Source organism: Homo sapiens, chromosome 2 (genome assembly GCF_000001405.40).
Source record: "Homo sapiens chromosome 2, GRCh38.p14 Primary Assembly".
Lineage (NCBI taxonomy): Eukaryota > Metazoa > Chordata > Mammalia > Primates > Hominidae > Homo > Homo sapiens.
In genome coordinates this window covers 109,299,900-109,327,453 of record NC_000002.12, presented here as the reverse complement: position 1 = coordinate 109,327,453, position 27,554 = coordinate 109,299,900, and the positions used below count along the sequence as shown (strand labels likewise).

Sequence of the window (27,554 nt, the reverse complement as noted above, 5' to 3'; positions counted from 1 at the left end):
CTTGCCCTGCTAAAATATCAAAGCTTTAAATAAGTTACAGTAATTACAAAAGAATAGTTTAATCAACAATAGACAAATAGACCGATGGAACTGAAGGGAGGGTCCAGACACAAACATGTGCAGATGATGTGATTTACCAGCGGCAGGGAAAGGCTGGGCTGTTTAATCAATGGTGTTGGCAAGTTAGGTTATCTAGATGGAAAAAGAAATTGTCCTCCACCTCATCCTATATACAATATTATTTCTAGCTGAATTAACATCTTAAATGTGAAAAGCAAAACTATAAAACTTTTAAAAGTTAATAAAAAGCTCCAGGGTAGGAAATGATTTTTAAATAAGACACAAAACACTGACCATAAATGTTCAGTGGAACAACATTTAAATGTTTTTAAAAACCTTCCATTTATCAAAAGACATTAAATACGAAGGAAAAAGACAATCCATAAACAGAAGATATTAACAACACATTGCAGAAACAAGGTATTAGCATCCAAAATATGTCAATAACCCAGCAGTTGAACTGGAACCGAATGGTAGAGCCAGCGTGCTCAGGTGTGAGCCCCTGCTCTCCCCTCACCTGCTGGGGAACACTGGGCCAGTGGCTGTGCGCACCTACGGATACTCTCCCATGAGACAGGCGTCCCCCTAAGAAAACCTACTTTATTGGGAAGGACTGAAACAGTTACTGTATCCAGAACCACTTAGAACAGTGGCAGTAAACACCAGGTAAGAACTACCCATCTATCTTCAAGAACAGATAGATCTTTCAAGAAAAAGATAAGTTAACTTAAACAGGCATTGTAGAAAAGGCTATGAACACAAATGGTCCCCAAAGACCTGAAAAGTGACTCAACAGCATTGGTAATCCAAGAACTGCAAATTAAACCACAATGAGATGCCATTTCACACCCACCAGATTGGCAAAAATTTAAAAGTCTGGCAACAGCAAGTGTCGGCAAGGGCGCAGAAGGAAACGTCTCTCACCACTGCTGGTAGGAGTGCAAAGTGCTGCCTGATCGCCAAGCCATCCTGTTCCAAAGAACATAGTATTCTCCAGGGTAAGGATGTACTTCTACATGAACATTAAAAAAAAAGAACAACAACAACTGAAATACCCATTAACTGTGAAGTAGATAGTCTATGATATACTCAGATCCATGAAAAACTGTACACTACATAAAAAAACAAATGAGCGACATCTATGTACATCAACACAGCTGATTCCTTGTTGGGTGGAAGAAGCAAGTTACAGAAAAACACCTTCTGAGGCTAAATCTGTAATATTCAGCACCAAGAACAGATAGATAAAATCAAATAAACAATGTAGACCCACATACGTGTGTGTCCTTAAATGTTTTACCATGGTGGAGAAAATGTGGCATACGCCCAGGATACCCCTGGAGGGCCTCTAGGTCTCCACATTTCTTAGGCTGATGGTAGATATACTAATGTTTGTTGTTGTTCTTCTTTAAACATGACATATACGTTACGGTTCACAGTGAAAATATCATTAAAAATAAAGCAGAAAGACTATTCATTTCTAATGGAAACACTATGCATACTTTCAACCCTCTCTGAACTTTTTCCCAGGAGTGATTTGGAACAAAGGGAGGTGTGGTCCCTGCTCGGGCCAGCATCTTTGCCCTGCAGTAATAAGGAGGGTGCAGCAGGCACCTGAACCCCTACACACTACTCCAGGCTGGTAGAGTCTGCAGGACATTCCAAGGAACATGTAGTGATGCCTGGCTTGGAAACCAGGAGATGAGTGGGCATATAGAAAAGAACCTTCTAGCGATCAGTGCTGAGAATGGAACAGGCTGCTTTGGGAAGTGGTGAGTGAGTTCTGTAACTGTTTTGGATTAAAGCAGACTCAGAGCAGCCATATTAAGGGATGTTGTAAAGGGGCTGTGTCACTGGGGGAAGCGGGGAACCAAGAAAGGAAATGATATGCTGTACATGGTGGCACATGCCTGTAGTCCCATCTACTCAGGAGGCTGAAGTGGGAGGACTGCTAGAGCCCAGGGTTTGAGATTACAGTGAGCCATGATCACACCACTGTACTCCAGCCTGAGTGACAGAGCAAGACCTGGTCTCCAAAAAAAAAAAAAAAAAAAAAAAAAAAGAAAGAAAGAAAGAAAGAAATTAAATGGCAGTCCCTGAAATCCAATGACTCCTGGGATTCTACGATTTCTTGGCTTACTCTGTGTAAACCGACTCACTTTGACTCCAGCCATGCCAGCTGGAGGGATGAAGTGAGACACTGATCTTCACAGAAAATTAAAGACCAGTGAGTTGTTTCCGAGCACTGCAGAGGAAATGTGGCCAAGGGACCCCTCCCTGACCTCTTGGGCCTTGTCAGAGCCATGGCATCCTCCCTTCTAGCCTCTAGGAAAAACAAGACACAAAAACCACACACATTTTAAAAACATCTCTTACGCAAGCCAAAGGCCTCTCCCAGAACAAACTTTTCCTTGCCAAAACTGTGTGATTGTATTTGTCTATACTAGTCATTACTGTATAGGAATGGCAAGAGGAGAGGGTTTGGGGAAGCGACAGCTCCACCGTTCCTTCCAGGAGACAGTGTGCCAGCGTGCGTGCTTGCACACACCTCAAGGAGAGGGACGGAGAGTACTGTCCTTGGAGTTACAGGCAGATTCATAGTTGGTCTCTATCCCCGTCTGGACATTCATGCTCTCCTTCAAGTCATTTGGCGCTTATGCAGCAATTCTAATTTCATCTACTTTACTACCAGCAGGGATCCACAGCTTTGGGATCCAGGAGAAAGGAGTTCCAGGAGAAAGGATCAACTTCGCCTTCTTCAAATACTGTCTTCAAAGGGCTTATTAGCACTTTGCAAATATTAGTCAACAGATCATCAACCTGGTTTTCCTTCTATTAAGATGACAGTTGTAACTTTCATTATTATTTTAAAATCTAAAAGATTAATCAAAACTACTTCACATCCACTAGGATGGCTAAAATCACAAAGACTGGCAATAATGAATGTTGACAAAGATGTGGAGAAACTGGAATGTCATACATTGCCGGTGGGAATGGAAAATGGTGCAGCCACTTGGAACAACTGCCTGGCAGCCCCTCAGAAGGTTAAAGAGAGTTACCATGCGACCCAGTACCCCTACTCCTAGAGCAGTGGAAACCTGTCCACAAAAAACTTGTACATCAATAGTCACAGGGCACTACCTGTGATGGTGAAAAAGTGAGAACATCCCAGATGTCCATCCACTGATTAATGGTATAAGCAAAATGTGGTCTAGCCACACAATGGATTATTATTCAGCCATAAAAACATGAAGTAGTGAAACATGCTACAACCAAGACGAACCTTGAAAATATTATGCTAAGTGAAAGAAGTAAGACACAAAAGGCCACATATTATCTGCTTCCATTCATAGAAATGTCCAGAAAGAAAGATCCACAGGGACAGAAATTACATTAGTGTTTTCCAGGGGCTGGGGGAAGGGGAACAGAGAGTGACTACTGATAGGTATGGCATTTCTTTTTACAGTGATGGAAAGTTTCTGAAATTAGACAGTGATGGTGGTTGCACAGCTCTGTCACTATACTACAAATTACTTTTAAAAAGATAAAAACATAAGAAAAGCTAAAAGATTAGCACTCTGAAATATTTGGAGACCTAAAATAACAAAAATAATTAACATCTATAAAACATGTTGACAGCTTAGAGAAGCATCCTCATGCCCACTCTTACAGGAGGGTGGAAGAGCAGGCCACCTTCACCTTATCTCCTCGAGGCACAGGCTCAGGGAGCTTGGCGGACACACAGCTCAACCTCACCAAAACCCCATGCACATCAGGAGTCTCCAGCCCCAGTGCAGATGCACATTCAGCTGAGTTCAAGCTTCGCTGGGGGCTCAGACTTATGCCCCATCTACCACTACCTACAATATTCTTCCTGGAGAGGGACAGCATGCTACCAATCACTAACAGAGAATGCACTTGGGTTGGTTGTTTTTCTAAATCTCACTGAATATTCTTTGGGATAGTATGTGCATATGTGTGTTTGTGATTCTTCATTTACACAAATGCCCATTGTGGTGAATATGTGGATCCTATAGCTGGAGTCATACAGGTATCTTCTTCAGTTTGTCTTCCTCTGTGTCACCTGCTTCATAGACACTTGCCCCTGTGCCAGTCAGTGCCTGCTATACACCCAATGACTCCCAGCCCAAGACCTGATGAGCCAGAGGGTCCTGATGGCCCCCGGCCCTCCTTCCCACTCTAGAAATACACACCTCCCCTTCCCACCCATTGCATTGTCTCTGGAAGCCGAGGCCTCTCTCTGGAGCATATGCTGGGAGCCCGGGCACAGTGGCAAAAGCAGAAGCCCCACAAAGTCTGCAAGCTCCCTCCTGTCTCTGATAAAACATTTCAACGAGACCACCTAGGGGTATAAGAAAATCCCTCTGCAACACAGCTCAGCAGCCTTGCCCACAGTCAGATTTGGCCTCTTTATATTGCCTGCCCACTCTCACTAAATTCCAATCTAGCCAGGGAAAAGCCACCTCTTGGCCTCATCTTAACATTACAAGGTTTGTGCATGGAACTTTAATTGATAGCAATAAAGCTGTCTGCCCATATCCTGATGTGGGGAGATTTGCAGGCACCAGAAGCCTGATTTCTGAGTTGGAGAAGGGTTCTTATTTGAATCCTTATTTGCTGGAAAAGCAAAATATGAGCTGATCATCTACCTCTTAATGAATTAGAAATCACTTATGTGGGTGCCCTGTGTGCTCAGCTAATGAGTCCTTTTTAAAAGGTTATTTCTGCTGGAGACCAGCCTTTGACATTTGACTGGCGACTACTGCAGATTTATTCATTCAGCAAATTTATTCTTGCAGTAACTCTCAAAATCAGTGCACACTATTACACAGCACAGGCCCTATTTGTGAAATTATTTATAGGCTTATTTAGAAATTTCAGCTTCCTTAAGATGGACAATTTTATTGGCTGATTTAAGCTCAACTCTCAGGCAAAGACAACTCACCCGCCTCCTAGTTCAGGCTCCTGGATTCCTGCCACCCCAACTGCCTAGTCTGCCTGTGGGAACATTTCGGCACATGTTGAAATGTTCTGCCTCTGCCGGCCCTGGCTGCCCTCAGACTCCATGGGTTTACAGAGCAGGATCTGGATTTATGACTTCAACAGGAAATGCAAAATACACAAAGTTCCAGCAAGAAGGGAGAAGGAGTGGTGATTATTCGGGGGATTCCAGAATGCTTGAAGGGGCGCTGAGTCTCCTGTGTATCCGTGTCTTGTCTCTCTCTTCCTCCCCCTTACTCCTTACCCTTCTTTTTCCCTTTCCTCATTCTTTCCCTCTCCCCGCTTCTCTCCCTTACCCTTTCTCGCTCCTTGCTGTGCCTTCCAGTTGCCAAGGTGACTTATTTTAAAAAGAGCCATCCACTTCTTGAAATGTGGTATTTGCTTTCATACTGAATAACGAGGACCAATCATCTTCAGAGCTCTGATCCTCCAGAAAAGGGCCCCATCTCCCCTTCAGAGAAGTCCTGAAGTCCTGACCACACTGGGACTTGAAGTAAGCAGTGGGAATCCACTGGAATTTGGCAGAACCTTGGGATTGTCATGGCCAGCCTCTGATGTCAAAATGTGACCAATCCCTCGCGAACACATCTCTCTAGCAGAATAACAGTAGTTGGAAGTAGATCTTCCCTCCAAAAATCTGTCTATACTTGAGTTGCACGGCAGGGGGCCAGGGTTGACACTTATTACAAATTTATTCATTTTTGCCAGATCCCTTCTGCCACAAGAGGGTTTTATCTAGACAAGGTTCCTAAATTGGCTTTGCAAAATGTAATCCTCTATTGATTGTCTCATCTCCTGTAATCCATCCAGTTATTGGAGAATGTTTGTTAAATTTCTATTTTAATAAAAACATCAACCACAACATTTATCTTCCTTTGTTAAATGGAAACAAAGCATAATCTAATTTTAAAAATACTATAAGCTGATAATCAAAATTCAACAACTGTATGCCCTGAACTCAACTAATTTCCACTTCAAATGCTCCTAATCCACATAGGCTTTGGCAATGAATGATGACGTTCTGGTATGGAAGAGGCAATCTGCATGCCACATTTGCTCTACCAATTTACTAAATTAAGTGGCAAGACAATAAAGGAATGGCGTTTTAATGAGAACAGCCTAATTAAAAGTGAATCCGAGGATATAAGGTTTGAGTTCTATTACTGACTGCATACCTCAAAGAATGTGAAGAGCTGCAAAGAAGCGTTTGAGAGGTGCATCCATGCACATGGCGTCTTGTGTGTCCGTGAGTCTTTCTTCCATGAATACTACTTATCACTAATCATTATCAGTAGTAATCATTACTTACATGTCTATAAGTTATCAGTAAGAGCAGCCATTTTTGAGCTCCCATGGAACAATCTATGTAGGTATGTAGATGCCTTACATACAATCTAATCCATATCCTAAAACCCTGCAAGATGGCAATATTACCATCACTTTACAGATGAAGTGTTTGTGGTTCAGAAGGTTAACCCAGGTGATGAGTATCGTAGGGCAGGGATTTGAATCTTGGTCTGGTGCCCGAATCCATGGCCATTCCATCTGACCACTCTGCCTGTCCATGTACAGCAAGCAAAGCAATGTGCCTCGAGTTTTATTTTCTCCCAGCAGAAAGTTCATCTGCCTGACGTTGTTTACTTGTCTGTTCATCTGCGGGGCTGATATCTTTACAGAAGAGGAATGCCAGTAATTTTACAAGAACAACAGTTGTGCATATTGGGTGTTATAGAGCTGGAATCCAGCACTGATTTTGGTGACCTAGTAAGCAGAGGGTTTAGACATTCTGATTAGGTGGGGAGAGGCCTAAACTTCTCCCAGATAACAAACATGTATCCAGCAGGTAGGACAGCCTCCCTTTGAGCATGAAAGGGTATAACTGGCCTTGGTTAAGAAGACGTGAGGAGGAAGTTGTGGCTCACTGCCGAGGATGGGCGCCTGCGGTGGTTCCAGCAGGAAGGATGGTTTTGCACTCACTGTGGTGAGATCAAACGTTGTACCTGCTGCTCAGGTGGGCTTGGGAAAGGGTGAGGGCCTGTACCTCCCTCTCTAGTCCAGGTGGCCACTGGCTGCTGTGCAGAGAACAGGAAGGAAACCTCTGCTCTCATTCCCACCGCCCTCCTCTGCCCGGAAAGCAGCCCTCAAAAATGGAATTAGAGTCAATGAGCCGAGCAGAGGCAAGCCGAGGGCTGTGACGGCCATGAGAACTGGGGTGAGAGAAGAGTTGTGTTGCTTCTACAGGCTTTACAGGAGCACTAGTAGGACTTGGTTCCAGGCCTAAGGAAGGGACCATAAGAGGCCACCCCCAGCTTCGAGGAAGTAGCTCCGTGAAGACCTAGAATGGAAACAGCTCCAGCTGGGAACCTCCAGAATAGCACCCCCCACTCTCCATCACCCACTCTGACTTCTCTTACTTCTCACAGCAGCTCGTTCACCTTGCCCCTGCAAGGAGGGACCCCAGATGTAACCACCGGGGGATTTCTAGGTCCCAAATGCAGGGCAAATGGGCTGATACTCCTACTGGCTCTCTTTCCTCTAAGGGGACAGAGGTGCCTTTGTTTGGCTGGAAAAAGCTCCAGATTGGACTGGGCAGTGAAGGGAAACAGCCACACACGGCCTGGACAGGCTGGGGGCAGGCAGGCTGCACCTGCCCACACCATTTGGCTCCGGCACGGCACTCTTCAAGATCGCACACTTTAAAAAGAGAGGAGGAGATGATAAGGGGAATGTTTAAAAACAACAGGGATGATAAGAGAAGATGGGGGAGTGTGGGGCTTTCTGTTCTGGAACGAGCCCCACTGGGCTTGTTTTCAGCCCTGTGAGCCCCCTCTCACTCAGAATACACATCTGTACTAACATGTGTTTCTCTTGACCACCGTCACTACCCCAGCAGAAGTGCAAGAGTAAGAAAACGAATCACTTGTAAATCCAAGCTTTCAGCCCAGCAGGCTGAAAAGGATGCCTGGGTGATCCCCGGGACCCCACTGAGCCCACAGGCAGACACAGCTCAGGACATTGTCTCTTTGCAGTCAACTAACCTGCACTGGCTTAGGAAGAGGGGAAATAAATGTAGAGTTCATATCACGATGCCAGGAACCAACTCTTTCTCAACTCCAAAAAATGCAGCAAGCTTAACACTTGGTCCTGCAAAACGATGCCACTGTCACTATCTGGCATATACAGGGCGACAGCCAAGAACAGGGTACTGGAGAGTTACTAAGCCATGCCCCCATCTAGGCAGAGATGGGAGTGCCTCTTCTGCAGACACCTACAAGCAGCTGCTGTCCCTAAAGTGAGCTGTTCCAGGCAGGATACAAACACCAGGATCGATGGAGAGCCACTCCTTTCCCATCTGTAATCCCAGTTAGCAGAGGGCTTTGATCTGTTCTGGGACAGACACTTGAAATACAAATGTTCTCAGGGAAGTTATGAAGTACAGTTTCATTACATATTGAATTCACTTGGCTCACCTACCAGAGGCAAGGAATTCCAGCTGGCTTTGGTTCCAGAAGTTCATCCCTCTTTCTTCTCCAAGCCAATGTCTGCCTCTGAGTGGATGGGTGGCCTCAGGCCAGAGCTCGTCAGGGCTGGGCTTTCATGCTTTGTCTTTAGATTGGATGAGACCAGAAGGGTCAGTATCTGGCGGCTGGCCAGGGCAGCCCCGGATTCTGGCCAGGGCATGATCTGAGAGACCATTCTGGCTTCCCTAGGACTCTGATCTCACAGCTGACAAGAGACAAATGCTGCCCCCAGTGTGAGCATGAGACGATCCCCTCAGGAGCTGGCTCTACTCACATGACTTTGAACCAACACACCCGCAAGGACAAACCACAGTTCTCTCACAGCGTTTATCCCACGGTCGCCAAAATGATTGTGCTATGATTCAGTCACTCAGATAAACGCGTATGCCGAGAGCCACCCTGGCTTTGAGAGGAGGCCTCACACAATTCCCTCCTAATCTTCTGGCGCTCGGCGGCATTTCTTCCTCACCCCAGGTCTGTGCAGCGAGTGGGCAGAGGACAAGCACTGGGGACCGGGCTGGGGGCCGGGAGGCACCAGCCAGTCACGCTAGGAGGAGCAGTCGCATGGAAATGCTCCCGAACATCTGGGGCTGCGCTCAAATTTCAAAGTGATTCTTCTGCTTGCACAACTTTACAATCTCGGCATTTGCCAAATGCTTATGTTTTGCTTAATCTGAAATTAGGCAAGGATTTCTAGTCTCTCAATGTCCCTAGAATGGTTTTTCTGCTTAAAGGGGGCTTTTTTTTTTTGCGTACTGAAATTCAGCGTGCTCATGGCTTAGAAAAACAGAGGAGAGAAAGGATCACGATGATCCTCCCTGCCCTTTGCTTTTTAATGCCTGGCCTTCCGTTCAGATGCAGGCCATCCTTGGCCTTTGCCACAGAATCCATCAGGACAAGCGGCAGAGTTGTGCGAGTCCCCTCAGCGGTGCAGCCAGCGAGCTGCTGCTGGCCACATACATCTTTCCTCTTGGCTGGGACTCCAGTTATGTGCCTTCCTGAGAAACCTGACCCAAGACGGATGCGCTAGTTCTTAAAGTCCTAGGATACATCCCCAGTTAGCACCAGGACACTACAAAGGCACTCACGAGCAGAAGCCTGTTCACAGGGAGGCACCCTCGCACTCCACACTGACCTCACTGTGATTCCGTGGTGGAGAAACTGCAGCAACTAATATTTATGTACCTGAAGTCATTTAAACTCAGCCAGTTCTCTTTTTCCAGGCCCAGCAAGTCACAGAAACCAAGGTGGACTTTGACTGTTCTGTACCTCAGAAGGAGCAGGGAAAGAGATGAGGCAGGCCCGGCAGAACGAGACCTAGAACCAAGTCCCTGCTGTGAACGGGGCTGCTGCCAGAGCTATGCCTCCCAGACCCAGGGGAAGAGCAGGGTGGGGGGCTGGGCCTCCCCAGCATGGAGTAGACAGTGTCCCTTCTGAGCGCTAACAGGGAAAAAGAGCCCCAGACCTCTGGACTCTCCTCCACCCCCTGGGGCTGGGGCGGCACCTGCCCACCTGCCCACAGACGCCCCCTCAGGGACAGGCATTGCTGTCGCCCTGTCACCATGGGCAAGACTTGACGCTATCTGTGCACAAGCAGGAAATGCTACACTAGGAGATTCCATCCGGGTGGGAGGTAAGCTGGGGTCCCGAAAACCCCAACACCATGAAAACTTACATCCACAAAACATTTCATGAAACTTACATCTCATGAAAACATTTCATGAGAAACCCACTCATGAAAGTTTAGAGCAGCTTTATTCATAACTGCCAGAATGCGGAAGCCACCAAGATAGCCTCAGGAGGTGAGTGGATAAACAAACTGGGGTCCACCCAGACAATGGAGTGTTATTCAGTGATAAAAAGAAATCAACTATGAAGCCATGAAAAGACATGGAGGAACCTCAAACATGAATTACTAAGAGAGAGAAGCCAGTCTGAAAAGGCTACGCACTGTATACTTCCAACTGTATGATGTTCTGGAGAACGCAGAACTACAGCGACAGTACAAAGACCCACGGCAGCCAGAGGGTGAGGCCAGGGAGGGATAACCAGATAGAGCACATGGATTTTTAAGGGCAGGGAAAGTACTGAGTGTGAAACTCTAATGGTGGATACATCGCATTATAGATTTGTCCAAACCCGTGGAATGTCCAACACCAAGAGTAAACCCTAATGTGACACCACTCTGGTGGCTGATGCTGATGGAAAGGCTGCACATGGGGGCGGGGCAGGAGGTCTATGGGAATTCTCTGTACCTTCTGCTCAATCTTGCTGTGAACCTAAAACTGCTCTAAAACAGAAAGTCTATTTAAAACAGAAAAGCAGAGGAAATCTCTAAGAGGAGTGATAAGTTCTCTCCATGTCATGGGCTACCTTGTTAAAGGCTGTGTGTAGTGAAGATCACACTGACATCACACCTGTGTTCCTCCTGTGATAGACAGGAAGCCAGAGCCAGGGAGAAACATGGCACCAGGGCTTCTCCAGGAGCAGGGGCATGTAGAGCCAGCCACCATCACCTGGCAACATGTCCTCCCTCCATCCCCTTCCCAGCATCCACCCAGCCTCCTGGACCGAGGCCCACAGCACTGATAGCCCAGTTGGAGCTGTGCAGATCTGCTGCGAGAGATGAAGCCCAAGAGCCAGGACACTGGTGGAACCTTCCCCAGGCCCAAAAGTTCAGCAAAACCAGCTCTGAACACCTCCTCCAGCCTGCCTTGCCCTCTCTTTTTGAAAGCTTTAGGTTTTTCCTGCTTTACAATTGCATACTGGAAATGCACTTTTCTAACCACATCTAATCTCTAAATACTGGGAATCTTTGCAATTTGGGTGAAAAAAGCCCCTGATGCATGCACATATAATCTCACACAGTCAGACCAAAAAGACTTCTGCTAATGCATCTCAAAAGGCTCCATATTCTCCAAAACAACCCAGAGACACAGACCTATGCTGGTCGCAGGTGACGTTCTGGGAACTGGTGGCTTTGATGCCTAGATCACGTCCTGACAGGTAAGATCAAAGGTCATTCTAGGGTGGAAAAGCGACGACGTCCCTTCCACACCAAGGCAGCAACCGGCATTCACCTGAATACTCTAAATGTCACAATAGCCAGACATAATGAGATGAAAGAGCCCCAGAGGAACCCTGGGTGGGAAAGCCTGGACTGAGACAGAGCTCGCCCCTTTATAGACTGCCAGGAAAGCCTGCACAGGCGTCTCTTCTCTGGACACACACGTCCTTGTGCATCACTGACAGTTTCTGAAAGTTCTGCACAGACAGTGCACAACAGGCACACATGGTCCCCTTTGCTTACACCAAAAACGGATGGTCGTTCTGTATATGCACATTTTCATACTGAGACAGTTCCTTACTGCCTCTTAGTAAAAGCAAGTGCATTCTACAGACACAAGCTATTGCTTCCCTGCAACTATCCTACAGAGATAGGGACAGAGGTTTACTTTGTTTTGAATCACTAATGGAGTTGCAAGACTCAATGAACAAAGCACTTTACCTGGCTTGGCATTAGTTAAGAACTCCAAGTTGGTGTTGGACCCAGGGCCCTATTAAATTGCTGGGTGTTTCCCAGTGGGCACGTCTTTCTGCCTTACTATGGAGAGACTATAGCCCTCTCCACTCAGAGGACTCACACTTGACAAGGGGGACCCAGAGAAAAGTCATCAAATAAGACTTTCTGCTAATTATACTCAGTAAAGTAAAACAGGTTTCCTTTTTCTTCATTATTGTGGAGCAGTGCTGTCCAGTGGAACTTTCTGCACTGATGGAAACGTGTCGTGTATGGGCTCTTCAATGTGGTCGCTGTTCACTGAGTGTGGTCGGTGGCTACCTTATGGGACAGTGCAGCTCTGGAATGCCTGCTGGGGGTTCTCAAACTGTGGGCTTTGCCAAGAATGAGATTCATACGGGGAGACGAAGTTTCTTTTGGTCACCAGCGAGGGCTTAGCTCTGCTTCAATCTCTACCAACTCAGAGGGTCTCCTCTAATATTTTGGTGGTCTGATTCTCCTATTCACTAGACAGAAATATGATGCCAGTACTGTCACACCCTAAATTAAACAAAACCAAAATGGCAAAATAATTTACAGAATAAGAAATTGGCTGGTGGATATTATGCACTTGTAAAAAGATTCATCAAAGGTTTCATCAAGGAGCTGGTTTGCCTTATGCATGTAAAGGAGGATTAATTTACAAGTTTATACAAACCTTTAAAGACCATGGAGAGTGACAGACACATGCAAATTAAGATGGAGACACTATTTATGAAGTGGCAGGAATAATAAAAATGTATTAGTTGATGGTGCTATTCATATGGTAGAGAAATTCATTCCTGCACGGAGGTGACATCAAAGGTCATGCCGTTTCAGGCTGACCTGCTTTCCCCAGGGCAATCTGGTTCCTACCCTCTATCTCTGCTCCCTGGCTATACCAAGGCAGGGTTACAATCACTCTTATAAGATCTATGGGATTCACCCTTCAACGGAGCCATTTTCTGGAACCCTGAGCCTTTGGGATAACTGAGGATTTATCAGTTTAACCATTTCAAGAAATAAAACTTTCTCCTAAAACATATGCCAAGCCCCTGCTTTCTCAAGCAGGCAGCATTAAATATACATGACCCACATGGTTCTGGTGCCCCCATCTCTGGACACCCACCCGCTGGTCTCCCGGGACACAGACCACGACCTTGGCACCTGCAGTTAGGTGACTGCCCAGGCCTGCTGCTTTCCGCTACTGTGTCCCCCAAGTCCACACTTGCCCCGGGTCTCACGGCCCCTCTCTTCCCCCATAGCCTCTTCCTTTTCTCAGTGTCCAGTGTCCCACAGCCTGGTACTCCTTCTTGTCACTTTCCTCCCAGTTCCAAAGCCTTCAACTGTCTTGTGCCCTACAAAACAAAGTCCAAACACGGCACCCTGCATACGGGTCCCAACACACCTTTCAAATATCTCCTCCACTGCCACTCTTCAAATCCCTCTGCTCTGGCTGAGCCCACCTCCCTCCTCTCCCCCACATGCACTGGAATAAGCCCCTCTGTTTCACTCATGCTGCCACAGCTGCCTGGAGCAGCTGACCCCATCGCTACAAAGAAACCGGAAGCACCTTTCAGCTCAAGGCACATGCCATCACCTACAGAGAATCAGTCTCTCTCCACTCATCTCCCAGAATGTTTTCTTCCCATCCCCCTGGGATGTTGAGCCTGAGAGGCAGTGAGCCCCACTGCTGGCCGGGGCCCCTACTCAAGGCTAGGAGGCCTTGGCCAAGGACAGTCCCTATCTGGGCCTCAATGTCTTCCTCAGTGATGCTTAAGACCATTGCGATGACCAACTGGTACAGCGCTCACCCAGCAAGGAGGGCAGGGCCTGGCCCATGGCAAGCACCCAAATGTCAGCCAGGGAGGCCTGGCCTTGTATCCATGCCTCTCATGAGCACATCTTAAAATATGACACTTCACCTGCAGTCTCATCCCGGGCTGTGCATTAGGCTGAACTGCATTTAAATAAATGCAGCAAGAAACACAGATGCCAGCCTCCCCCCTTGGGATGGATGTACAGCAGGTTTGGGGTAAGGCCTGGGCCTTGTGAAGAGGAATAGGGATCCTGATATCATGCCGGTGTCAAGGATGCTGGCATAGACAAGCTCCCTAACCCCTTTCCAGGTCCCCTGGTTCTTCCCAGCTCAGCCCATGCACACAGATGAAGCTGACAGGCACAGGGCAAATATTACCTACAGTGTGAGCCAGGAGCACCACCTGCCTCTGAAGTATGTGGATTGCATGGGTTCCCTGTCTCCTGCCTCTTCTTAACACTGCAGATTTGCCCACCTGTCACAAATCAGCCCCCTTCTTCCGCATTACTGTAGATAAAAGTGAAATCCAAGGGCTGCTGTGGAAAACATAGGGCGGCTCTTCAATAACGTACACCTAGGATGACCACGTGACCCAGCAAGTCCATTCCTAGGTATACACCCAAAATCTAAGACAGGTGTTCAAGCAAATGTTTGTACCCAAATGTTAAGTGCAGCTCTACCCACAAGAGCCAAAAGGTGGAAACAGCCCAATGTCCGTCAGCAGATGAATGGATAAACAAAATGTGGAAATACCATACAGTGGGACATTCTTCAGCTATAGAGGGGAATGGAATTCTGATATACTCTATGATCCTGGATGAACTTCGAAAATACGAAGTAAAAGAAGCTAGACCAAAGGGCCATGTATCGGATGATTCCACTTATATCAAATCTCCAGAGTGGGCAAATTCACAGAGAAAGAAAGCAGGTTGTGGTGGCCTGGGGCCAGGAAGAAGGGGCCCAGCGGGGTGGCTGCTGATGGGTAGAGAGTTTCCTTTTGGGGAGATGAAAACTTCCCAAAAGGAAACTTCTGGAACTAGACAGTGCTGACGGTCGAAACATCATTAATATAATAAAACATAAATTCCACTGGCACACTTTATAATGACTTTCATGTTATAAGTATTATACCACAATAAAAAACCCGTTAAACTTGTTAGAATTATTAGAAAGAGGAGCAAGCCAACCTCGAGTGGGAAGCTCATTCACAAGAAAAGTGGGCAGGACTCAGAGCCCCAGCTCTGAGGTACATTTGTCCCTCTGGCCTTGTGTGTTTTGTTTACTAAACTGTGTAAGATTGTGTAAGATTTTCATTAGACTTTGTAAGATTTGGAGTTCTGAAATAACCAAATAACCAGTTCTGAATAGGTGACATACTTTTGAACTAACAATGCTAAAGGAAACCATAAAAACACATACACCAAGGTTCCCCTAGTCTATGGCTGACTGCTACACCGGCCACAACGCTCAAGTCAGTTCAAAACTGGACAGCACCAGCAGCAGCCGACCTCACCACCACACAGCCACGACTCATGGAAGACATCAGCTCCAAAATCTGTGACTCCATCTCATCCACTGGCAGGGCATGGAAGAAAATGTGGATGTAAGAAAACGAGAAAACAACTTCAAACTTTAATTAAAAAAATAACAATAAAGAAAGGGACAAACCACCATTTTAGTAAAGTTTGCTGTCTCTGCCATATGGGTAGCCTTGATATGACTTGCTCATCGCTTGAAATTAGCGCCCTTTTCAGAGTGAAGTCAGACAAGGAAAAACAAAACCACCACCAGGGTACATCAGTCAGAAAGGCATGTCCACAGACTGGGTCTCCTCTCAAGTGCTCAGCAGTCCTTCAGTCTTGCCATCAAGGGCCATTGCTTTTAGGAAGCTAGAATAAAAGTGCATCTTGATATACAATCATGTCGTCTGCAAACAGGGACAATTTGACTTCCTCTTTTCCTCATTGAATACCCTTTATTTCCTTCTCCTGACTAATTGCCCTGGCCAGAACTTCCAACACTATGTTGAATAGGAGTGGTGAGAGAGGGCATCCCTGTCTTGTGCCAGTTTTCAAAGGGAATGCTTCCAGTTTTTGCCCATTCAGTATGATATTGGCTGTGGGTTTGTCATAGATAGCTCTTATTATTTTGAAATACGTCCCATCAATACCTAATTTATTGAGAGTTTTTAGCATGAAGGGTTGTTGAATTTTGTCAAAGGCTTTTTCTGCATCTATTGAGATAATCATGTGGTTTTTGTCTTTGGCTCTGTTTATATGCTGGATTACATTTATTGATTTGCGTATATTGAACCAGCCTTGCATCCCAGGGATGAAGCCCACTTGATCATGGTGGATAAGCTTTTTGATGTGCTGCTGGATTCGGTTTGCCAGTATTTTATTGAGGATTTTTGCATCAATGTTCATCAAGGATATTGGTCTAAAATTCTCTTTTTTGGTTGTGTCTCTGCCCGGCTTTGGTATCAGAATGATGCTGGCCTCATAAAATGAGTTAGGGAGGATTCCCTCTTTTTCTATTGATTGGAATAGTTTCAGAAGGAATGGTACCAGTTCCTCCTTGTACCTCTGGTAGAATTCAGCTGTGAATCCATCTGGTCCTGGACTCTTTTTGGTTGGTAAACTATTGATTATTGCCACAATTTCAGCTCCTGTTATTGGTCTATTCAGAGATTCAACATCTTCCTGGTTTAGTCTTGGGAGAGTGTATGTGTTGAGGAATTTATCCATTTCTTCTAGATTTTCTAGTTTATTTGCGTAGAGGTGTTTGTAGTATTCTCTGATGGTAGTTTGTATTTCTGTGGGATCGGTGGTGATATCCCCTTTATCATTTTTTATTGTGTCTATTTGATTCTTCTCTCTTTTTTTCTTTATTAGTCTTGCTAGTGGTCTATCAATCTTGTTGATCCTTTCAAAAAACCAGCTCCTGGATTCACTGATTTTTTGAAGGGTTTTTTGTGTCTCTATTTCCTTCAGTTCTGCTCTGATTTTAGTTATTTCTTGCCTTCTGCTAGCTTTTGAATGTGTTTGCTCTTGCTTTTCTAGTTCTTTTAATTGTGATGTTAGGGTGTCAATTTTGGATCTTTCCTGCTTTCTCTTGTGGGCATTTAGTGCTATAAATTTCCCTCTACACACTGCTTTGAATGTGTCCCAGAGATTCTGGTATGTTGTGTCTTTGTTCTCGTTGGTTTCAAAGAACATCTTTATTTCTGCCTTCATTTCGTTATGTACCCAGTAGTCATTCAGGAGCAGGTTGTTCAGTTTCCATGTAGTTGAGCGGCTTTGAGTGAGATTCTTAATCCTGAGTTCTAGTTTGATTGCACTGTGGTCTGAGAGATAGTTTGTTATAATTTCTGTTCTTTTACATTTGCTGAGGAGAGCTTTACTTCCAACCATGTGGTCAATTTTGGAATAGGTGTGGTGTGGTGCTGAAAAAAATGTATATTCTGTTGATTTGGGGTGGAGAGTTCTGTAGATGTCTATTAGGTCCACCTGGTGCAGAGCTGAGTTCAATTCTTGGGTATCCTTGTTGACTTTCTGTCTCGTTGATCTGTCTAATGTTGACAGTGGGGTGTTAAAGTCTCCCATTATTAATGTGTGGGAGTCTAAGTCTCTTTGTAGGTCACTCAGGACTTGCTTTATGAATCTGGGTGCTCCTGTATTGGGTGCATATCTATTTAGGATAGTTAGCTCTTCTTGTTGAATTGATCCCTTTACCATTATATAATGGCCTTCTTTGTCTCTTTTGATCTTTGTTGGTTTAAAGTCTGTTTTATCAGAGACTCCCTGCCTTTTTTTGTTTTCCATTTGCTTGGTAGATCTTCCTCCATCCTTTTATTTTCAGCCTATGTGTGTCTCTGCACGTGAGATGGGTTTCCTGAATACAGCACACTGATGGGTCTTGACTCTTTATCCAATTTGCCAGTCTGTGTCTTTTAATTGGAGCATTTAGTCCATTTACATTTAAAGTTAATATTGTTATGTGTGAATTTGATCCTGTCATTATGATGTTAGCTAGTGATTTTGCTCGTTAGTTGATGCAGTTTCTTGCTAGTCTCAATGGTCTTCACATTTTGGCATGATTTTGCAGCAGCTGGTACCGGTTGTTCCTTTCCATGTTTAGCGCTTCCTTCAGGAGCTCTTTTGTCTCAGCCCAAAATCTCCTTAAGCTGATAAGCAACTTCAGCAAAGTCTCAGGATACAAAATCAATGTACAAAAATCACAAGCATTCTTATACACCAACAACAGACAAACAGAGAGCCAAATCATGAGTGAACTCCCATTCACAGTTGCTTCAAAGAGAATAAAATACCTAGGAATCCAACTTACAAGGGATGTGAAGGACCTCTTCAAGGAGAACTACAAACCACTGCTCAAGGAAATAAAAGAGGATACAAACAAATGGAAGAACATTCCATGCTCATGGGTAGGAAGAATCAATATCGTGAAAATGGCCATACTGCCCAAGGTAATTTACAGATTCAATGCCATCCCCATCAAGCTACCAATGACTTTCTTCACAGAATTGGAAAAAACTACTTTAAAGTTCACATGGAACCAAAAAAGGGCCCGCATCACCAAGTCAATCCTAAGCCAAAAGAACAAAGCTGGAGGCATCACACTACCTGACTTCAAACTATACTACAAGGCTACAGTAACCAAAACAGCATGGTACTGGTACCAAAACAGAGATATAGATCAATGGAACAGAACAGAGCCCTCAGAAATAACGCCGCATACCTACAACTATCTGATCTTTGACAAACCTGAGAAAAACAAGCAATGGGGAAAGGATTCCCTATTTAATAAATGGTGCTGGGAAAATTGGCTAGCCATATGTAGAAAGCTGAAACTGGATCCCTTCCTTACACCTTATACAAAAATCAATTCAAGATGGATTAAAGATTTAAATGTTAGACCTAAAACCATAAAAACCCTAGAAGAAAACCTAGGCATTACCATTCAGGACATAGGCGTGGGCAAGGACTTCATGTCCAAAACACCAAAAGCAATGGCAACAAAAGCCAAAATTGACAAATGGGATCTAATTAAACTAAAGAGCTTCTGCACAGCAAAAGAAACTACCATCAGAGTGAACAGGCAACCTACAAAATGGGAGAAAATTTTCGCAACCTACTCATCTGACAAAGGGCTAATATCCAGAATCTACAATGAACTCAAACAAATTTACAAGAAAAAAACAAACAACCCCATCAAAAAGTGGGCAAACGATGTGAACAGACACTTCTCAAAAGAAGACATTTATGCAGCCAAAAAACACATGAAAAAATGCTCATCATCACTGGCCATCAGGGAAATGCAAATCAAAACCACAATGAGATACCATCTCACACCAGTTAGAATGGCAATCATTAAAAAGTCAGGAAACAACAGGTGCTGGAGAGGATGTGGAGAAATAGGAACACTTTACACTGTTGGTGGGACTGTAAACTAGTTCAACCATTGTGGAAGTCAGTGTGGCGATTCCTCAGGGATCTAGAACTAGAAATACCATTTGACCCAGCCATCCCATTACTGGGTATATACCCAAAGGACTATAAATCATGCTGCTATAAAGACACATGCACACGTATGTTTACTGCGGCATTATTCACAATAGCAAAGACTTGGAACCAACCCAAATGTCCAACAATGATAGACTGGATTAAGAAAATGTGGCACATATACACCATGGAGTACTATGCAGCCATAAAAAATGATGAGTTCGTGTCCTTTGTAGGGACATGGATGAAATTGGAAATCATCATTCTCAGTAAACTATCGCAAGAGCAAAAAACCAAACACCACATATTCTCACTCATAGGTGGGAATTGAACAATGAGATCACATGGACACAGGAAGGGGAATATCACACTCTGGGGACTGTGGTGGGGTGGGGGGAGGGGGGAGGGATAGCATTGGGAGATATACCTAATGCTAGATGACGAGTTAGTGGGTGCAGCACACCAGCATGGCACATGTATACATATGTAACTAACCTGCACAATGTGCACATGTACCCTAAAACTTAAAGTATAATAATAAAAAAAAAAAGTGCATCTTATCTGCTCCAAGCTTCCGCCCAGAGCATGGATGCAGCGTTCTGCTTGCCCACAAATTGTTCCCCTCCTAACTTCTGGCCAAGTGCTCCTGTGAGCATCCTAGCAGAACATCTTCAATATCATATATTACAATGCAAATTTGCGAATTAAATCAATGTGGCTACACACAAGTCCAATGTGCAAAAAGGTAATTATGAATATTCAATTTTCAAATGTGCACCTCCCAGCAGTGGAAACTAAATGTGAATGTTCCCTCATGAAGAGTACAACAGGTACTTTTTATTTTTTTAATTTCAAGCCACTGTAAGAGAGAAATAAAGAATGTCTGTTGATTACACAAAGAATCAATAAAGACACAAAAGCCTCACATTTATAAATTAAAACTGCACTGCCATAATAATGTGTGCCCTCAATTATGTTACCTGTGTTGTTCATGCCAAGCGGCAAGCAATTGAGCAAAAACACCTCCATAGCACACCATCAGCCATCCACACGGGCATGCATGCCGCGGCCCTACCGTACACCGCACACCCGTTGAACCAAGCTTTGGCTCTCCTGCAGCTTACTCAACATACACGTCGACCAGAGCAACCTAGGAAATACGTAATCAACCAGTCTATCAAAGGTCCCTGTAGTTTTTTAGTTTCTTCCTGCACCATCCCCTAGTGGAATCACCAAGCAACAGGAAATGTGATTCTGCCATCCAGGTTGGAGTTGTCTTCAGTAACATGCTAGGTTACTGGGCATTTGGGGTCCACCGACTGCTAACAGCATGAAATCATTCCGATACTTGCATAACAGTGGGTTGCGGCCATGGCATGTAGCTTCCTGCCTGGAGAACACCACCAGCCACTGTACGGTCAGAGAAAAAGCATCCACAAGGGCAGGTCGGAGATGTACAAAGAGGCCCTGCCCTGCCCCTCCATGGCACCTGCTCTGCTCCCATACCTTCTGCGGTATGTGCAGCCTGCCTGCAAGGGCAGCAGCAGGATGGAATCGGAAGCCCCGGGAAGCCTCCAGGAGGAATCTCCAAGCACTCTGCAGGTGCTGCTGGAGTATGCGCAGGGGTTGGAGGCAGGGACACACAGGGGTCAGAACAACATCGCAGGGTGGAATGCAAACACACACGTGGCACCCCTCTATCCACCCCTCATCCCGGCCCCACTGCTGACACTTCCTGGGGTCTGCATCTGGCAGACTGCATCTCTTCTGAAAGACGGTCTGCTCTGACCATTTTAGTGGATTTTCTCTATAAGCGACGTGTTGACAATGTTATCTGCTTCCTGCTGATGTTGAATGAAACAACTTTAGCGTGAGGTAGACAAAAGCAATATCCCAAGCACATCCCACTGTCGCTGCCAGTAAGAGCCCAGCAGAAGGCAGCGAATCACTCCTGAAGTCACCTGTAGCTCTGTAATGCCCAGATCTACTGTGCTCACTAAATACCGTGCTGAATGAGCAAGGAAGGGGCAGCTGGAGGAGCAGCTGGAGGAGCAGCCCAAAGGGCAGAGCTCAGGGGAACTCCTGGTGTGGGAAAGGGCTCTGCGTGGATTGCTTTCTTCTCTGTCACCTGCTCTTTCTCAGTGAGAGATGCCGAGCAGCCCCAGCCTCTGAGACCACCTCCAGCAAGTTTTGTGGCATCTGTCTCAGGGAACCGCAGAGAACACTGCCTGGAATGTGCGTCCTCCCGCATTGTAGCCACACACCGCACATGAAGGAGTGTACAGTGACAGGCATGCAGTGGAACTGAGCGAATGCTGAGTGCACATGAGGCCCACAGTCAAGAGGACCTGCCAGACCTTTGTATTCTCATCTCCCTTAGCTTAGCTGAGACTCTCTACTGCTTGTACGGAGCTTCCTGGTGCATAATTTCCACACAGCACTTCTGCGCCCAGAGTGGGAAGTAAGGTGGAGAGACCAGAAGGAAACTAGCAGGTGCTCCTTGAGCCTCCAGGGGCCAGAACTGGGCTGGAGACAGGGAAATAGGAAGCACGATGTTCCCCTAAGAAGGGGCCTTTGATTGCCCCGAGACACCTGTATGGGCCTCCATGGCCATACCTGCCATTAAAGGTAACCACAGAAGAGGCGCTTCATCCTCTCAGGGAACTTCATGACAGGCCTCAGTCAAAACGCCTCCAGTCTGGAATGAATCACTGAACTTCCCAGGGGGAAACCGTCAGCAGGTTAAAACCAGCTGAGAAAGAGATATATTAGAACATCACAACCCTGGCAACTAACCCAGAAGATCAACATAACCCCCACTGTGGACCCCTTTCTAAGAGATTAATATTATCAGAATAATCAGAAGTCTCTTAGAAGGCAGTCTTACAGCATGGACCCAAATAACATTCAGACGGGGAACCGCAACAAACCCAGGCTGGGGAAGTACCAGTGAAACCAGATATCCAGACAAATGAGGCACTCAACACACATTAAACATTCCTACTCATAAGTTGACGCTGATTTTACAGACAGGACAGAAACCCAACCGAGCAGTTTTCACTCTGGCACTTGACCTCAGCAGCGTCACCCCATGTCTTCTAAGGTGGCTCTCTGAGCTCCCATTTCCCCCTGAAGTGGCTCTCACGAGGTCTAATCTAGCAATTCACAGCTGTCCCGGGCAGGGCTGAGCCGGGTCCCTGCTCCTTTCCTCCACAGGCTGCACCTCTCCCTAGATTAGCTCCTATATGCTGTGGTCACTAGCACCAAGCACTGAATAGTGGCTAGTGAGACGGAGAAATCAAATGTTTAATTTTATCTAATTTTAATTCATTTAAATACAAACTCAAATAGCTCTAAATAGTCTGAACTTAAAGATAGAGGGTGAGGGCAGTGCCGACGGGTGCAGCGGAGTTAACCACTCTTACCCAGTCAGAGCCAACATCACTGACACCCTGGGGTTGGAGAGAGGAGACTCAGGAAGCAGGTCCAGAGACAGGGAACAAGGAACCCCTAGCAGACAACGTGGGGCAACTCAGCCTTAAAAAAGAAGGAAGTCTTGTCATTTGTGACAACATGGATGAACTTGGAGGACATTATGTTAAACGAAATAAGCCAGTCACAGGAAAACAAATACCACATGATCTCACTTATATGTTGGAGCTAAAAAGTCAATCTCCTAGAAGCAGGGAGTAGAATGGTGGTTACCAGGGGCTGGGGTTGGAATGGGGAGGTGTTGGTCCAAGACTATAGTTTAGTTCTGCAAGATGAGTAAGTTCTGGAGATCTACTGTACAGCAGTGTGACTCCAGCTAACAATACTGTACTGTCTACTTAAAACTGCTAGCAGAGTAGATCTTTCTTTTTTTTTTTTGAGATGGAGTTTTGCTCCTGTTGCCCAGGCTGGAGTGCAATGGCGCGATCTCAGCTCACTGCAACCTCTGCTTTCCAGGTTCAAGCAATTCTCCTGCCTCAGCCTCTGAAGTAGCTGAGATTATAGGCAAGTGCCACCATGCCTGGCTAATTTTGTATTTTCAGTAGAGACGGGGTTATATCTTATAGTAAGGATTCTTACCAAAAATAATAACAATGTTAATAACAAAGGAGGCAGGAGGCGATGCACAACTCTGAGAGGTGATGAACTTGTTCACGGTCTTGATGGTGGTGATGGCTTCACAGACTCACCCCCAGACTCATCGAGATGTAGAAATTAAGTATGTAAAATATGCCCAGCTTTTTATATGCCAACCAGGCCTCAACAAAGTGGTTTTTAAAAAACTAAAATACCAAGCAAAACAAAACCCGAATGTGGGCAGTCTCCTGCACTTGCCAGCTGGCTCTGTTGCCTCCCTGACTTTGTCTCGCCAGCCCGTGTGGCGGCCCTCTCCCGTCCCTTGGGCATCATCGGGTGGGTTTCCTTCCTGGAGGCTCAGAAGGAAACAGACCATTGCAGGGTCACCTTACTGGCTACCTAGGCCTGAAAATATTTTCACTTAAAAAGTTTCATCTTCTTAGTGTTCTGCCATGTACCAGTCTACACAAAGATCATCCTACATTAAAAATATAGTGTGAGCGAAGGAGAAAAGTCTGGCCCCCAAAGTGGGGAGTGCCCACCTTCATTCAACTGAACGCACACCTTGTCTTAACCCTGCCAGAGGCAAGCTCTTTCCTCACATGGATGGACGTTCCAAATTCACTGGGAAGCATATGTGAGGGAGGTGGTCCTCAGATCCTGTTGGGGCCAAGTGAATCTCTCCCAAAGTTCTTTGGCTACAGTGGAGTTTAAAAACTAAGGAGATCGGCCGGGCGCGGTGGCTCACGCCTGCAGTCCTAGCACCTTGTGAGGCTGAGGCGGACGGATCACCTGAGGTCAGGAGTTGGAGACCAGCCTGGCCAGCATGATGAAACCCCGCCTCTACCAAAAATACAAAATTAGTAGGGCATGGTGGTGCATGCCTGTAATCCCAGCTACTAGGGAGGCTGAGGCAGGAGAATCGCTTGAACCTGGGAGGCAGAGGTTGCAGTGAGCTAAGATCATGCCACTGCACTCCAGCCTGGAGGACAGAGCAAGACTCTGCCTCAAAAAACAAACAAACAAAAAAAGCTAAGGAGATCAGATAATCTGATCTCATGTTCAGATGTAGAGATCACTAGAATGTCCACTTTTCTCCAGCATAACCTTATTTAACTTATTTCAGCCTCCGAGAGGCAGGTGAAATGTCGTGTCTGAAAACAGGAAGAACATAGGAGCACCATGATGCCTTGTCTCCCGGGATCACTTCCAATGGCAGGACTGTGGAAAACTCCAGAGGTCACGCCATCCCGAGCCAGACCTGGCGGCCTGGGCTGGCTAATCCCCTACGCAGCAGTGAAATTTAGCACTGTCAAAATTTAGCACTGTCAGCAGCACAGCACAGGGTCTCTGGCCTGGTCCCCAAGCTCCTAGAGGGCTGTGGAGCATCTTCGGTGCAGGCAGAGCCCTCCCCTATGGGGGCCCTAAGAGGAGGCACATGTTGTGCCTGGTTATTCCTGGCTCTCTGCCTCCATGGCATGGCAGGATTGCACCAGTTCTGTGTTTGGGTATGGTCAGCATGAACAGAAGCAGCAAGCATTTCACCTTGCTGTTCCTGCAGCCTAACTTTCCCATCCTGACTGATCCATCACAGATATGCTGTTATGGATGATTACAGTCACAAAAAAATGCCCCAGGATTCAGGTATGTCAAACTGACACTTAGAGCAACCTGAAAGCATCACACACCACAAATTGCATGTGTCCCAGCACTGGCTGTAGGAGTACCAACGCCAGCTTTGCAGATCCGTGTTCAACAGAGCAGTCTGAAAAAATGACCAGCCTCTCCATTCTCTGCTATCGATTGCAGTGGGAGGAGAGAAGACACAGTGGGCAGAATTCTTCAAATGCTCAAAGCTCTAGAAAGAAAAACCTCTATGGCTTCCTGAGAAGAACTGAGTCACACAACGAAGATGCTGAAATCAGCACAGGTCCAGGAAGACATGCAGGAGAGGCTGCGGGAAGGAGGGCAGAAAATGGACCCCGGTCCCGCACCGGGGAAGCTACTTAGGCCAACACCCTTGAGAACAGACTTCTCTCCATTTGTCCAAAATTCTCAAACATGCTAAAGAGGCAAGACAGGGCCAGAATGAAGACAAGAAGGATGGTACCTGTGGGCAACCCACCCAAAAAGGATGGGTAGGAAAGTGCAAGGCCAGCTTAGCAAATACATGGGAATCAAAGGCCTTTGAGAAACCACTTTTCTCCTCAAAACAACAAAATACAGCTCAAATTTCTATGCAAAGGAGCCTAGTGGTCTCGGCATGGCCTGAGGTGGGGAGAATGCTCTGAGCCCACAGAGGCCCTGGGGACGGTGGTAGCGTAGACACTAGGCTGTCAGAGGCTGTGGTTTATGGGCTCTGGGCACCCTGGTGTCCTGGCATGCCCTGTGCTGTCACTCTGCGGCACTGCCCTCTCCATCCTCAGACACCTGCCATCAAACAGCGAAGGGGCCAGCAATCCCCGGAGGAGAGGAATGCAGGGGAGACTACATGAGTTCATACACAGACAGAGACCCAAGGTCCCCCCACCACACACAAAACATACACAAACACACACACACACACACGTCACACAGATACACAGCCCGCCCCCCACCACATACACACACAGACACACACCACACACAGCAAGTGTGGCCACACGGGAGAAAGTCTGAGTCCCGGTGCACAGAGATCAGCAAACCCCTGACATCAGCCTGCGCAGAGGAACCAGGGCAATCCCCCTCTTGACTCTGCTGTCTTTGGACTAATCTAAGGCTTGCAGCTAGTGAGCTGGCCTTCTATTCCCACAGTATTAAAATAGCAATGATTATTTATTGAGAATTTACTGTACTGGGCACTTCATACACAACTGTATTGAAGTCTCCCAACTTTCAAGTGAGACACCCTGCCCCTCTGCAGATGAGGAAGCCAGACTCAGGCAAGGCTAGTCGGCACCAGCATCTGCAGCTGGTAGCCAGCAGCCATGCTGTGGCCCTCACCTTCTAACCATGGCCCAGCTGCCTCCAAAGCAGCAGAGAGGGCACTCTGCTTGCTTTTTAAGTCGTTCTGATTTAGTAGGAGCCTTGGAAGGCAAAGACTGTGGTAATGACACTCTAGGTGATGACACTCACTTCTGAGAAAGGAGGTGGAGCCCAACCCACATGAAGTCTGCTCCAGCTGGTGGGCTCTGAAGAGTGTGCTCAGTCTGATGTTGGAAGGTGGTGAAGGAGGAAGAGGAAGGTGGTTGGATGGAGAAGGAAGAGGAAGATGGATGGAGGACGAGTGGTTTCTTACCACCAGGAAGAACCTGAAGTCCCAGTGCATATTTGCCAATCATACCCCTAACCATCCCCTATGGAAAAGGATGCCTGTCATCTCTGGAGCATGGATTCATGTCTTTTCCTCACTCAAGGGCTTACCTGGTATAAAAACTCAGGGTGCGGATGGGCGCAGTGGCTCACACCTATAATCCCAGCACTTTGGGACACTGAGGTGGGTGGATCACTTGAGGTGAGGAGTTGGAGACCAGCCTGACCAACGTGGTGAAACCCCATCTCTACTAAAAATACAAAAATTAGCCAGACATGGTGGCGTGCGACTATAGTCCCAGCTACTCGGGAAGCTAAGACAGGAGAACTGCTTGAACCCTGGAGGTGGAGGTTCACTGCACTCCAGCCTGGGCGACAGAGTGAGACTCTATCTCAAAGAAAAGAAAAAAAAATTTCAGGATGCCCTCTCGAGAGCATATCTCAGGGCCATTATTCTTCCCATCCCTGTGTGTGCAGGGACACATGCACCTAGCTGTCATCAAATGTCCACCTCTCTTATCCTTGCTGCTCACCCAACACTGTGTAAGCTTTGTTCATTCACTCACCCATGCAGTGACTGGGCACTGTGCAGTGCCTTCCAGTTTCCAAATTCTTGAAGAAAGAGCGAAATAAATAAATAGAACAAATCCCTGCTTAAAGCTTTATCATCCTATTCCTTTGCTAAGAGCTGGCTCTGCACATCCTACTTGTCA

At 46.3% G+C, this 27,554-nt stretch overlaps 2 protein-coding genes and 1 non-coding gene across 4 annotated transcripts in view, besides 2 other annotated features; 1 reads left to right on the top strand and 2 right to left on the bottom strand.

Annotated features, from left to right (window-relative positions):
- The window catches only part of RANBP2 (RAN binding protein 2), a 1,122,820-nt gene that overhangs the window by 514,848 nt on the left and 580,418 nt on the right, over positions 1-27,554 (bottom strand). The window lies entirely within an intron of this gene.
- Positions 1-27,554, bottom strand: part of SH3RF3 (SH3 domain containing ring finger 3) — a 375,430-nt gene that overhangs the window by 177,181 nt on the left and 170,695 nt on the right. The window lies entirely within an intron of this gene.
- Positions 8,607-9,595: an enhancer, noted in NCBI's record as "H3K27ac-H3K4me1 hESC enhancer chr2:109934315-109935303 (GRCh37/hg19 assembly coordinates)". NCBI's record gives its function as "activates a minimal SCP1, AML or CMV promoter by ChIP-STARR-seq in primed H9 embryonic stem cells {active_cell/tissue: H9 hESC(primed)}" and the evidence as "EXISTENCE:reporter gene assay evidence [ECO:0000049][PMID:30033119]".
- Positions 9,596-10,585: an enhancer, noted in NCBI's record as "H3K27ac-H3K4me1 hESC enhancer chr2:109933325-109934314 (GRCh37/hg19 assembly coordinates)". NCBI's record gives its function as "activates a minimal SCP1, AML or CMV promoter by ChIP-STARR-seq in primed H9 embryonic stem cells {active_cell/tissue: H9 hESC(primed)}" and the evidence as "EXISTENCE:reporter gene assay evidence [ECO:0000049][PMID:30033119]".
- MIR4266 (microRNA 4266) lies at positions 13,829-13,883 on the top strand. The gene has a single exon (NR_036224.1). It is a non-coding gene; the product is annotated as a microRNA 4266 (primary transcript).